This window comes from Homo sapiens, chromosome 1 (genome assembly GCF_000001405.40).
Source record: "Homo sapiens chromosome 1, GRCh38.p14 Primary Assembly".
NCBI lineage: Eukaryota > Metazoa > Chordata > Mammalia > Primates > Hominidae > Homo > Homo sapiens.
The window spans coordinates 151,727,117-151,740,177 of NC_000001.11; the positions used below are offsets into that span (position 1 = coordinate 151,727,117).

Consider the following 13,061-nt stretch of genomic DNA (forward strand, 5'->3'; position numbering starts at 1 on the left):
TGCCGCTACAAAAAAAAATTAGCCATCGCACATGCCTGTAGTCCCAGCTAGTCGAGAGGCTGGAGATGGGAGGATCTCTTGAGCCAGGGAGGTTGATCGCGCCACTGTACTCCAGGCTGGGTGACAGAGCAAGACGCTGTCTCAAATAAATAAATAAATGCACACATAAACAAGATTGTTGACGGAATGACAAGCCCCACTTGGCTGCAGCACAGCTCTTTCTCGACGTAAGCAATATCCTAGTGTATTGCCATTTAGGATGCTTCACTCCTTGCCTTAGATACGGAGTTGAAGGAAAATCATGAATGAAAGGGTCTTTGTCAGGAGTCTGCGGATTTATTGACTCCCAAGATGGTTGTGTCTCAGGTTCATCTGTGAAAGTACAGGACCTGAAACAGTAGCCACAGCCTGCGTTAAAGTCTACTTTACCTCCCATCCTATCCCTTAATGTTTTCCAGAGAAATATTTTTGAAAAGACCAGACAACATCCTAGAATTTGCTGCAGGTGAGTAAGGCAGCGTCGGTTTTGGGTATCTGACAAAGCCAGCGCAGGGAGCATGATTGTGAGTTTAGACTTGAATGAGCCCAGGATTCTCCCAGAGTCTGGGGTACTCCTTCACCTGATGTCCCCAAAGGGAGCTTTTTTCAGCTTTTTCTTTCCTCCATCATCATTTCCTCAAAATGAGGACAGACAAGAAATGAGGCAGAACTTCCTCATGGTGAGGATTGTTAAGAATTTTGAGATTCCCAAAGGAACATAGCGGCAGTTTTTCCCTTGGGAATCTTAAAGCAGGGTTCTCAACCCTAGCTGTACATCAGAATCACCTGGGGAGCTTTTAGAACTACTGATGCTCAGTCCCCACCACCAGAGAGTTTTATTTAATTAGTCTGGGGTGGGGCCCAGCATACATAGCTTTAAAGACTCCCCAGGTGATTCTAATGGACTGGCTGCCTTAAGGTCAACGGTATTTAGAGGGAAAGGGATGGATTGGACGATTTCTTGGTTCCTGTTAGTCCTGAGAATTGGTTACATCCCAGACCTCAAACCATTGCTAACAGAATCTCAATACGCCTTTGCTAGCGCAGCAGATGCTGCCTCTGATTCACAGTATGCTGGGTGTATAAAAACCCTCATCTGGCGTCATCCTGCGAGAGCCTGGCTCTCCTCTGAGAGGGTATTCTCAGAGAAGGCGTGATAGCTCAGAGACAGGAGCTGGCAAGCGGAGCTGAGACAAGAATAATACTTGGCATTTATTTGGGCCCCAAGATGGGCCTGGAGCAGAAAACCCAGAGAATCCCTGAGCCCTCTGATGGCTCTCTGTGCGTCAGCAGGCGGAGGAGCAAACGGTGCGACTCGGGGTAGGTGGGGGGTGGGGGGTGGGGGGTGGGGCCAGGCACAGCGTGGAGGGGAGGCAGCCAGCCTCTGGGAGCCCTTCCTGGGAATGTTGGAGCTGGCAGAATCAGAACTGCTCGGGTGGGGGCAGTGACCGTTCATTTTACCATATTACATTGTAAAGCAGGGCCACCAGTAGTAGCAGTCCTGCGTACCAAGCCATCCTAACTTTTTGGTGGAGTAAGCTGTCTCCTTCCATGGGTAAATCTTTTCCCTTTGGGTATAGATGATGTCTTCTTTTTGATTTTTATCCCAGACTACTTCACGGATCCAAGACTTCCCAACAAGATTCACATGCAGCTAATTAAAGACAAGAAAGCGGCTTAATTAGCAAAATCATGATGCTCAGCTGTTGGGAGAGACCAGACGGAATCCAGCCTCGGGGTGGGTGTTAACCTCACTTACAGACAGAGGCTTCTTTACTCTTGTGAAAATAAGCTCTGGTTTATTGGTCCAGGGTGTGAAAGAAATCAAGTGGAGAATTTAAAGAGAAGTTTAATGTAAATGTTTAGTTTTTCCTCTACTGTTTTGGGGAATTAGGGACTGTGAAGAGAGGCCCAGGGTTGATCTGTCATGTCAGTAGCAGGAAGCTTCTTAATGTAGTGGAATGGATTAAGGGAATGGAAGTGGAAGTACAGTAGTTCAGGGGTAAAGATGGCAACAGGGAAATGGGGAGGGGGCCATTAGCATCAATATGATGTTCCTGCTGGTGGCCTTTCCTGTGTGACCTTGGTGGTGAGAGGGGAGACGGTTCCATTGCTTCTGGAAGGGGTGTGAGCAGTTTCCCTCCTTGCTTCTTGGATTGGGCACTTTCCCACTCCTGCCTCATCTTCAAGCCAGGCTGTGCCATTAAGGCCACCACACGTTTTTCAGGCAGAATGATTCCTGAAATGATATTGAAAGCTGGGATTTAAAAAAAAAATGTGAGGTGGGAAAAGGTCACACTCCTAATTTGGTGGAACCATTTCTGTTTTGCAGGGTCATCTGGAGGCATGAGAGCCCTACTGCCATCAGTGTGGGTTTCCAAGCTGCCTTGGGCTCTGTCTACTGTCGCAAAAGCTTTTAAAGATATTCATTAAACACGGACCTTCCTGCTCTCTCTGCTTTATTTCACTCAAGAGGAGGAAGCCATCCTTCAGGGGAGGGCTGCTGTGCCCCACTTTGACGTGTGAGGCAGCCGGCCTGTTTCTGCTTTCAGGGCGGCCAGGGGCCTCTTGCTGGGTCAGTGGGCTGTCGTGCCCACCCCCTGGGAAGAACACAGCTGATCACGGGGGCACAGAAACAAGCAAGTCCATGCTTCAGCTGTGGTTTTGTTTTCTTGTTTATCTTACTTCCTGGGTTACTGTACAGAGTGTAAGGTGATGATTAACTTTGATTTCCATAGAAGCAATTGTAAGAGGAATCGGGCTGGAAGGACATCAAGAGAATGTGAGATTAGCCACAGAAAACCCATTCAGGGTCATGGATATTGTGAAATATGTGCCCAACAAGGGATTTGGGAGTTGTGGGCTTTGTTCTTGAGGATTTTTGGGAACTTGCTGCCCATCCACTTGATTTCAGGTAAGAGGTATGGGAGTGGACCAGATGGCCTCAGTAAGTCCTTTTCAGGCCTAGGAGCTTGCGGGGGGTCTTTCATGGTTATGTCCTACCCCTCTGGCCTGCACGATGCACTGGCTCCACTGTAGAAAGAACCTCTCACCTGTGCGTTATTTGTCAACATCACCGTAGCAACAGAAGCCCAGACCAAAGCAGGGGTTGTATTATTTTTATTTCCCTTGTCTCTGTCGGCCTTGTTCCTAGCTGCCATCACTTGCAGTAGCAGAAAGGGCAACAAAACAGGGTGTTTAAAGAACTATTAAAACTACACATAATAAGCTATGGAATAGGAACCTGAGGAGTTATTTTTAGTGCCTTCAGAGTCACACTTCGGGAGCTATGGCACTGACAATAAGATACCCTTCTTTAGAAAATCCAGACGAACCCTTCAGCAAAAAACACACACCTACTAAGGATCTCTGATGTGGAGTGTTAGATTAGACAATGCGAGAACCTTTCCTGGGGAAAGAGACCTGGAACAATGTGGGGAGAGAGCAAAGTGTTCTCCAAGATGCTGTAGCACATGATTTAATACTGGGAGAGTATAGTGGTTCATTCTTGGGGTGGTTTCCTGGCAGAAATAAGAAATGCATTTCTTTTAAAATATTTACACTTAAGGTACATTTCAATGCCTTCCTGAGTAAAGAATGAATTTAGCACATGTTCATAGGGCATCTGCTTTGTGTGAGATGCTGTTTTATGTCCTGGGGGCAAGACATAAAGACAGTCCCGCCATAGAGTTATTTATAGTCTGAGGAGATGGGCTTATTTTCTGTCTGAATATCTCACCTATTTGACTGAAAGCACCATGAGGGCAGGGAGCAAACCTAAAAATCTAACTGGTTCACTACTGAATTCCTGACTCCTAGCAGTCTTTGGCAAATAGCAGGAAATCAGCAAGCATTTGCAGAGAAAATGATGCCTGCATAATTGAATGAGCAGTCGCATTACATCAATTGCTATATTGGCAATTACATACCTCTGATGGAAGTAGGTACATAATATAAGGGGAGGTAGAAGAAAAAGCACCAGGTTTGCCTGGGAGGGTGAGGTCAATCCCACGAGAACTGGCATGTGATGGATTAGAAAGGGTTTGCTGGCCAGGCCCGGTGGCTCATACCTGTAATCCCAGCACTTTGGGAAGCCGAAGCGGTCAGGAATTTGAGACCAGCCTGGCCAATATGGTGACACCCCGTCTCTACTAAAAATACAAAAATTAGCCAGGCGAGGTAGCGCGCGCCTGTAGTCCAGATACTCAGGAGGCTGAGGCAGAAGAATCACTTGAACCCGGGAGGCGGCAGTTGCAGTGAGCCGAGATCGCGCCACTTCACTCCAGCCTGGGTGACAGAGCGAGACTCCGTCTCAAAAAAAAAAAAAGAGTTTGCCAGGTAGACCTGGGAAGAGGGTAGTCAAGAGCACCTTGGTGCTTCCACTCTGCTGAGCAGGATGGTGCTGGCAGGTCCTGTTTGTCACCTGCTCGCCCTTATCCTTTTCTTTCTTGCTAACGGAACTCCAGGTTTGTTGAGGGCAGCAGTGGATTCAGCCCCAGGTAGTGGATGGAATTTGACCTGGGCCAACCGTAACAATGGCATTCCCTGACTTCCCAGGCTTCCTTGCAGCTTGGGGTAGCCATTTGTTCATAAGCTAGAGGTAAAAGTGTGCTGGGGGTTCTACAAAAACCTTTGCTTTTCTTAATGAAAAACCGGAGTTGGGGACAACAGATTAGGTTGGAATAGCCCTTCCCTTTCTGATTTGGACCTGAATGTGATGTCTCGAGCTGTACAGCCATTTTTTTTTTTTTCGTGAGACAGAGTGTCACTCTGTCGCCCAGGCTAGAGTGCAGGGGCGCGATCTTGGCTCAGTGCAACCTCTGCCTCCCAGGTTCAAGCGATTCTCCTGCCTCAGCCTCCTGAGCAGTAGGATTACCGGCATGTGCCACCATGCCCAGCTAATTTTTGTATTTTTAGTAGAGACAGGGTTTCACCATGTTGGTCAGGCTGGTCTCAAACTCTTGGCCTCATGTGATCCGCCCACCTTGGCCTCCCAAAATGCTGAGATTACAGGCGTGAGCCACCACACTCAGCCTGAGCAGCCATCTTAAGACCATGAGGTAATCAGTGTGAGGGTGAAAGCCAGACCTCTAAAACAGCAGAAAGGGAAGACGGGGAGACCCTGGGGTCCTGATGGCATTTCTGATCACTTAAACAGCCCAGAAATCACCCACCTACCTTCAGACTTCTTGGCAAATGAGAATAGTGAATCTCTTTTGTTTCAAAATCAAACCAGAGTTTACATCCTGATCCACCACTTACTAGATGTCTGGCCTTGTCCAAATCACTTCACTTCCTTGAGCACTGGGTTTCTCATCTATAAGACCTACAATACCCACCTTTCCAGGTCGTTTGGATTAGAGATAAAGAATGGACAGTACCTGGTGCATGGGAGGTGTTTGCTAGTGGCGTGCCCCCTGGTGATGTATGAAGTACAAGGGTAGGGGTGGTGAGAGGAAAAGTCAGAAGAGAAGGTAGGACAAATCAAAGGGTGCTGTGTACTAGGCAAAGGAGGTTAGGTTTTCATCATGTAGGCAATGGAGAGCCAGCAAAGAATTGTAAGCCGAGGGGAATTTATAAAGAGATTTGCACTGAGAAAGTATAATAGCGTGGAAGACAAATTAGGGGAAACTAAGTCTAGAAATGGGAAGACCTGTAGGGAGACGATCATAATTGTCCAAGCTGGTCAGGCATGGTGGCTCACGCCTGTAATCCTAAGCACTTTGGGAGGCTGAGGTGGACTTGAGGTCAGGAGTTCGAGACCAGCCTGGCCAATGTGGCGAAACCCTGACTCTACCAAAAAACCCCACTAAAATTAGCTGGGTGTGGTGACGCACACCTGTGTTCTCAGCCACTCAGGAAGCTGAGATGGGAAGATCGCTTGAGCCTGGGAGGTCAAGGCTGCAGTGAGCCGAGATCACGCCACTGTACTCCAGCCTGGGCAACAGTGAGATTCTGTGTTTTTGTTTTTTTTTGTTTGTTTATAATTGTCCAAGCTGTCATTTTCTCTCACCTGCACCACTTCAGTTGCTTCTTACCCTGGTCTCTTTGCTGACTCTCTGTCCACTATTTCAGTTGAGAATGTATTTAGCTGTAGGTAACAGAAAACCAAATTTATAGTGACTTAAACAAATACGGGGTCATTTTTCTCACCTAACAAGTTCAGCAGTAGGCAAGAGTCAAAGGGTCAATGATGTTGACAAGTACCCAGACCAGGTTTTTTCTGTCCTCACTCTGCCAGCCTTAGCCTGTCCCGTCATGGCTGTGAGGCCTCCTGCACTCTCAGGTGTCCTCTTTACATTTCAGGCAGGGAGAAGGGCAGAGAGCTGCGCCAGCTGACTGTGTCCCTTTTTATCAGCAAAGACAAACTTTCTCCGAAGGTCTCCCACCTCTCCCTCACTGGCCAGACCAGGGTCTTGCGGCCCATCCTCAACAGAGACCAGGAACAGGAGGGAAACTGCTGGGTCAGCCCCAAATCAGCATCTGCCCCACCTGCACTTTCTGATCCATCTTCCATGTAACAGCTAGGATAATTCTTTTTTTAAAGTTTTATTTATTTATTTTTGAGACAGTCTTGTTCTGTCACTCAGGTTGGAGTACAGCGTACTTCACTGTAACTTCAAACTTTTGGGCTCAAACAGTCCTCTTACTTCAGCCTCCCTAGTACTAGGACTACAGGTATATGCCACCACTGATTTTAAAAAAAAATTTTGTAGGCTGGGTGCAGTGGCTCAAACCTGTAATCCCAACACTTTGGGAAGCCAAGGCAGTGGACTACTTGAGGTCAGGAGTTTGAGACCAGCCTGGCCAACATGGTGAAACCTCATCTCTACTAAAAATACAAAAAAAATTAGCCGGGCATGGTGGCACACACTTGTAATCCCAGCTACTTGGGATGCTGAGGCAGGAGAATTGCTTGAACTCAGAAGGCAGAGGTTGCAGTGAGCTGAGATTGAGCCACTGCACTCCAGCCTGGCTGACAGAGCGATCTTTTAGAATGATCTTTTAAGAAACTGAAATCAGAGTACGCCCTCTCCTGCACTCTCAGTGTAACCTCCGCCTCCCGGATTCAAGCAATTCTCCTGCCTCAGCCTCCTGAGTAGCTGAGATTACAGGTGTGTGCCACCACACCCAGCTAATTTTTGTATTTTTACCAAGTTGGTCAGGCTGGTCTCGATCTCCTGACCTCGTGCAGCTGCTCAATACGCATTTGCTGAATGATAAATCGATGGGATGTTGGAAGACTGAACTGCAGGATGAGGCCTTGATATATGCAGTGGCATGAAAACAGGAGGTGAATTCTAGACATATTTAGGAAGGGGAATTGGCAGGACCTGTAATTTGAATGGGGTGGAGTTATTACAGAAGTTGTAGATTCTAGAATGACTTCCAGGTTTCTTGCATGGGAAAGAAGAGGAATGCTGGAATCATTCACTAATACAGAGGGGAAGCAGGTAGGGGCAGGGGAAATGGGGAGATGAATTTTGGCCAAAAGTTTTCCACTGAGTTTGCAGTTGGGTCATGGTGATGTGAACATGAATAGCTTCAGTGGGGTAGGCAGAAGTCAGATTGCGGTCAACTTGGTGGCAATTGGGAGATGAAGACATGGAAGTAGATATACACTGCCCTTGAAGACAGCTTTCTAGGAGCATGGATGGGAGAGGAAATGGAGAAAGGGCAGTCGTTGGAGGGGGAAGCAGGGTCAAGGGTGGTTTCTTGTAATGGGAGATGCTTGAGCATCCAGTAATTGGACGCTTTCATCTCTTCTGATATATTTTACTTTTAAGGTAAAGTTAGGAGTGTCTTGGAATTGCTGCTCAGATTGGATCTGATATCCAGAGAGCAAATACACGAGCTAATAAGCTGGCTACAGGCAGGCATGCTTTGCCACCTAGTGACCTTCAGCAACCCCTCTGTGTCAGGTTCCTGATCTTCAAAATTGGAGCAGTAGCTCTCCCTAGGCTTGCAGTAAGGATTGCCTCAGTGTGTGGTTGCCTTGCTGTGTCCACGGGGTGGGAAGGAAGGGCAATGTCTGGAAAGCAGGCCACTCTCAGTCTAGCTGGACTGGTCTCTGCTGCCCTCTCCTGGGCATGTCTGCAGAGTTGACATGCTGTTTGGAGAATGCCTGCTCAAGGCCTGAGTGGAATGTCAGCAGGAGGGAGAGAAGAGGAAACAAGGCTGGGCTGGGAGTGGGAAAATAGTAACAAACACACAGATTCCTGTAATAGAAAGTTCTTTAGATGTTACAAAGACCAGGGCCTTAGCCCTGGGCAGTGCTGCTTCAATGAGTACCTTAGACGTTTACTTCTTTCTTTTTTTTTTTGAGATGGAGTCCATAGGCTGGAGTACAGTGGTGATATCTCAGCCCACTGCAACCTCTGCCTCCTGCATTCAAGTGATTCTCATGCCTCAGCCTCCCAAGCAGGTAGGATTACAGGCATGTGCCACCATGCCCAGCTAATTTTTGTATTTTTAGTAGAGATGGGGTTTCACCATGTTGGCCAGGCTTGTCTCAGACTTGTGATCTCAAGTGATCTGCCCACCTTGGCCTCCCAAAGTACTTGGATTACAGGCATGAGCCACCATACCCATTCAATGTTTACTTCTTTAAAGTATCTGAAGAGAAACCTTGCAAATTGATTATTCATTCATTTATTCATTCACTTATTCACTCATTCAACAAATATTAGGGCGTATTATGTACTCAAGATGCAAAGTTTTGGGAATAAGACACACTCCTCAAGGAACTCATGGTCTAGTGAGTGAAGACAGATACATAGATACATAGATAATTACAGTACAGTTTCAAAAGTAAAATGTAAGATGTACAGTGTATTCTTGATTACATGTATTCAATAGTTAATATGTTTTGGATCTGTGTCCCCACCCAAATCTCAGGTCAAATTGTAATTCCCAATGTTGGAGGTGGGGCCCGGTGGGAGGTGATTGGATTAGGGAGTGGTTTCTCATGAATGGTTTAGCACCATCCCCTTGGTGCTGTTCTCATGATAGTGAGTTCTCATGAGATCTGGTTGTTTAAAAGTGTGTAGCACCTTCCTACTCTCTATTGGTCCTGGTCCTGCCATGTAAGATACTCATTCCATCTTTGCTTCTGCCATGATTCAGAAGCAGATGCTGCCATGCTTCCTGTACAGCCTATGGAACCATGAGCCAATTTTTCTTTATAAATTACCTGCTCACAGGTAGGTTTTTTGTGTTTTTTTTTTTTTGAGATGGAGCCTTGCTCTGTTGCCCAGGCTGGAGTGCAGTGGCACAATCTTGGCTCACTGCAACCTCTGCCTCCCAGGTTCAAGTGATTCTCCTGCCTCAGCCTCCTGAGTAGCTGGGATTACAGGTGTATGCCACCACACCTGGCTAATTTTTTGTATTTTTAGTAGAGACAGGGTTTCACCATGTTGGTCAGGCTGGTCTCAAACTCCTGACCTTGTGATCCACCCACCTTGGCCTTCCAAAGTGCTGGGATTGCAGGCATAAGCCACCACACCTGGCCTTCAGGTATTTCTTTATAGCAATGTGAGAACAGACTAGTACATAAAATTGGTTCTGAGGAGTAGGGCATTGCTATAAAGATACCTGAAGATGTGGAAGCAGCTTTGGAATTGGGTAACTGGCAGAGGTTGGAAGAGTGTGGTGTGGAGGGCTCAGAAGAAGCCAGGAAGATGAAGGAAAGTTTGGAACTTCCTAGAGACTTGTTAAATTGTTGTGACAAAAATGCTGATAGTGATATGGATAAAAAGTCTAGGCTGATGAAGTCTCAGAAGGAGATGAGGAACTGATTGGGAACTAGAGCAAGGTCACCTTTGTTATATATTAGTGAACAATCTGGTGGCATTGTGCCCCTGCCCTAAGGGATCTGTGGAACTTTGAACTTGAGAGTGATGATTTAGGGTATCTGGTGGAAGAAATTTCTAAGCCACAAAGCATTCAAGATATGGACTGGCTGTTTCTAACAACCTATCTCATATGCATGAGCAAAGAAATGATGTAAAACTGGAACTTACATTTAAAGGGGAAGTAGAGCATAAAAGTTTTTGAAAAATTTGCAGCCCAGCCATGTGGTAGAATAGAAAAGCCCATTTTCAGGGGAGAAATTCCAAGCAGGCCACAGAAATTTGCATAAGTAAAAAGGAACCAAGTGCTAATATCCAAGACAATCGGGAAAATGCCTTGAAGGCATTTCAGAGACCTCCACATGCAGTCCCTCCCATCATACACCCGGAGCCCTAGGAGAGAAGAATGGTTTCAGGGGCCAGGCCCAGGGTCCTGCTGCCCTGCGTAGCCTTGGGACACTACTCCTCATGTCCTAGCTACTCCAGTTTCAGCCATGGCTCAAAGGGGCCAAGGTACTGCTTGGGCCACTGCTTCAGAGGATGCAAACCCTAGGCTTTGGTGGCTTTCATGTAGTGTTAAGCCTGTGGGTGCACAGAGTGCAAGAGCTGAGACTTGAGAACCTCTGCCTAGATTTCAGAGGATGTATGGAAAAGTCTGGATGTCCAGGCAGAACCCTGCTGGTAAGGGTGGAGCCCTCACAGAGAACCTCTAGTAGGGCAGTGCAGAGAGGAAATGTGGAGTTGGAGCTCCCTGACACAGTCCCCACTGGGGCACTGCCTAGTGGAGCTATAAGAAGAGGGCTACCACCTTCCAGACCCTGAAATGTTTGAGCCACTGACAGCTTGCACCCTCAACCTCAAAAAGTTCCAGTCACTCAATGCCAGCCCATGAGAGCAACTATAGGGGCTGAACCCTGCAAAGCCTTAGGGGCAGAGCTGCTCAAGGCTTTGGGAGCCCACTTCTTGCATCAGTGTGCCCTGAATGTGAGACATGGAGTCAAAGGAGATGATTTTGGAGTTTTAAGATTGAATAACTGCCCTGCCCGGTTTCAGACTTGTGTGGGGCCTGCAGCCCCTTTCTTTTGACCAATTTCTCCCTTTTCAAACAGGAATATTTACCAAATGCCTGTACTTTCATTGTATCTTGGAAGTAACCAATCTGTTTTTGATTTTACACGCTCATAGGTCGAAGGGACTAGCTTTGTCTCAGATAGACTTTGGACTTTTGACTAATGCTGAAAGGAGTTAAGACTTTGAGGGACTGTTGGGAAGGCATGATTGTATTTTGCAACATGAGAAGGACATGAAATTGGGAAGGGTCCAGGGGTGGAATGATATTTTTGGATCTGTGTCCCCACTCAAATATCATGTTAAATTGTAATCCCCAGTGTTGGAGGTGGGCCAGGTGGGAGGTAATTGGATCACGGGGGAGGGTTTCTCATGAATGGTTTAGCACCATCCCCTTGGTGCCTTTCTTGTGATAGTGAGTTCTTGTGAGAGCTGGTTGTTTAAAAGTGTGTAGCACCTCTCCCCACCCTTGATCCTGTTTCTGCCATGTAAGATGCTCTCCCCAACTTTGCCTTCTGCCATGATTAGAAGCTTCCTGTGGCCCCCCCTGGAAGCACATACTGCCATGCTTCCTGTACAGCCTGTGGAACTGTGAGCCAATTAAATCTGTTTTCTTTATAAATTGCCCAGTCTCAGGTATTTCTTTATAGCAATGTGAGAACAGACTAATACAATAGCTATAGCTGCGTTAGGCCAATTTTTTTTTTTTTTTTTTTGAGATGGAATCTCACTCTGTTGCCAGGCTGGAGTGCAGTGGTGTGATCTCAGCTCACTGCAACCTCCGACTCCCTGTTTCAAGCGATTCTCCTGCCTCAGCCTCCTGAGTAGCTGGGATTACAGGCACACACCACCATGCCCAGCTGATTTTTTTATTTGTAGTAGAGACGGGGTTTAACCATGTTGGCCAGGATGGCCTCGATCTCCTGACCTCGTGATCCACCTGCCTCAGCCTCCCAAAGTGCTGGGATTACAGGCGTGAGCCACCACACCTAGCCAGGACTAATCTTGAATAAAATCCAAACACAATGTCTGTTTGGCTTTGAAATACAACACTGTATGATTTCTTTTCCTCTGCGATGCCCCTTCAATGGCAAAGTAACATGGTAATGTAACCTTGTGAAATTCCACAACCAAACCAACTAGGAAGAAAGAGTAGCCGTTTAGAGCTGTAAGAAATATCTAAAAAATACTTATCTAGGTGAGAAGTATCAAAAAATATATCTCAATTCTCATATTTAAAGGTACTATAGGCCAGGCACGGTGGCTCATGTCTATAATCCCAGCACTTTGGGAGGCCAAGATGGGTGGATCACCTGAGGTTGGGAGTTTGAGACCAGCCTGACCAACATGGTGAAACCCCGTCTCTATTAAAAATACAAAAAATTAGCCGGCTGTGGTGGTGCATGCCTGTAATCCCAGCTACTCAGGGGGCTGAGGCAGGAGAATCGCTTGAACCCAGGAGGTGGAGGTTGCAGTGAGCCAAGATTGCACCATAGCAGCCCAGCCTGGGCAACAAGAGTGAAACTCTGTCTCAAAAAAAAAAAAAAAAGAAAGAAAAAGAAAAGAAAAAAAGGTACTATAGTGGATACTGTTGTGCCACCCAGATACCCACCCCCATCAGGACTGAAGCACTCATCCTTGTCCTCCCCCCAGCACTTCTGGGAATTTTGGGTGACTGACAGTTCCTGGTTGCACCAGCATTTCCAAGAATTTGGGTGACTGACAGTTCCCAGCTGGGCTTCCTCCAGGAGTTACCCTTAAGTGAAAATTCATTCAAGATTATGCCCCCTCCTAAGACAGTCTGCATCTACTGGTCAATGTGGAAGTATATTCCCCTGCATGATTCTGATTTCCTTGTCTCAGTGGGGGACAACTCTGCAGGGCCACAACAGTTCCTGAGTTCCTGCTGTCCAGTTCTAAGGCCTTCACTTTCTCCCAGTGTTGTTGATCCTGAGAGCACGACTCAATGAACTGCTTTTACTCAAATCTCCATCTGAGAGTATATTTCCCGAGGAACCCAGCCTGACAGTCAGTGCCAAGAGTGCTGAGGAAGCAGATTCTAAAATGAGATTCTAAACTGGAAATACCTGTTGGCCGCTGGCA

The 13,061-nt window shown here is 46.9% G+C and overlaps 1 protein-coding gene across 5 annotated transcripts in view; it reads left to right on the forward strand.

Moving 5' to 3' along the window:
* RIIAD1 (regulatory subunit of type II PKA R-subunit domain containing 1) overlaps positions 1 to 2,689 on the forward strand; it is an 18,255-nt gene extending 15,566 nt beyond the window's left edge. For all 5 annotated transcript variants that reach the window (XM_047418094.1, XM_047418090.1, XM_047418091.1 and 2 more), the window contains 3 exons: positions 459 to 505; positions 1,650 to 1,777; positions 2,372 to 2,689. In XM_047418094.1, the coding sequence (XP_047274050.1) occupies positions 459 to 505; positions 1,650 to 1,720 (118 nt within the window). In that variant the 3' untranslated portion in view covers positions 1,721 to 1,777; positions 2,372 to 2,689. The remainder of the gene's footprint in view (positions 1 to 458; positions 506 to 1,649; positions 1,778 to 2,371) is intronic.
* Positions 2,690 to 13,061: the final 10,372 nt, after the last annotated feature.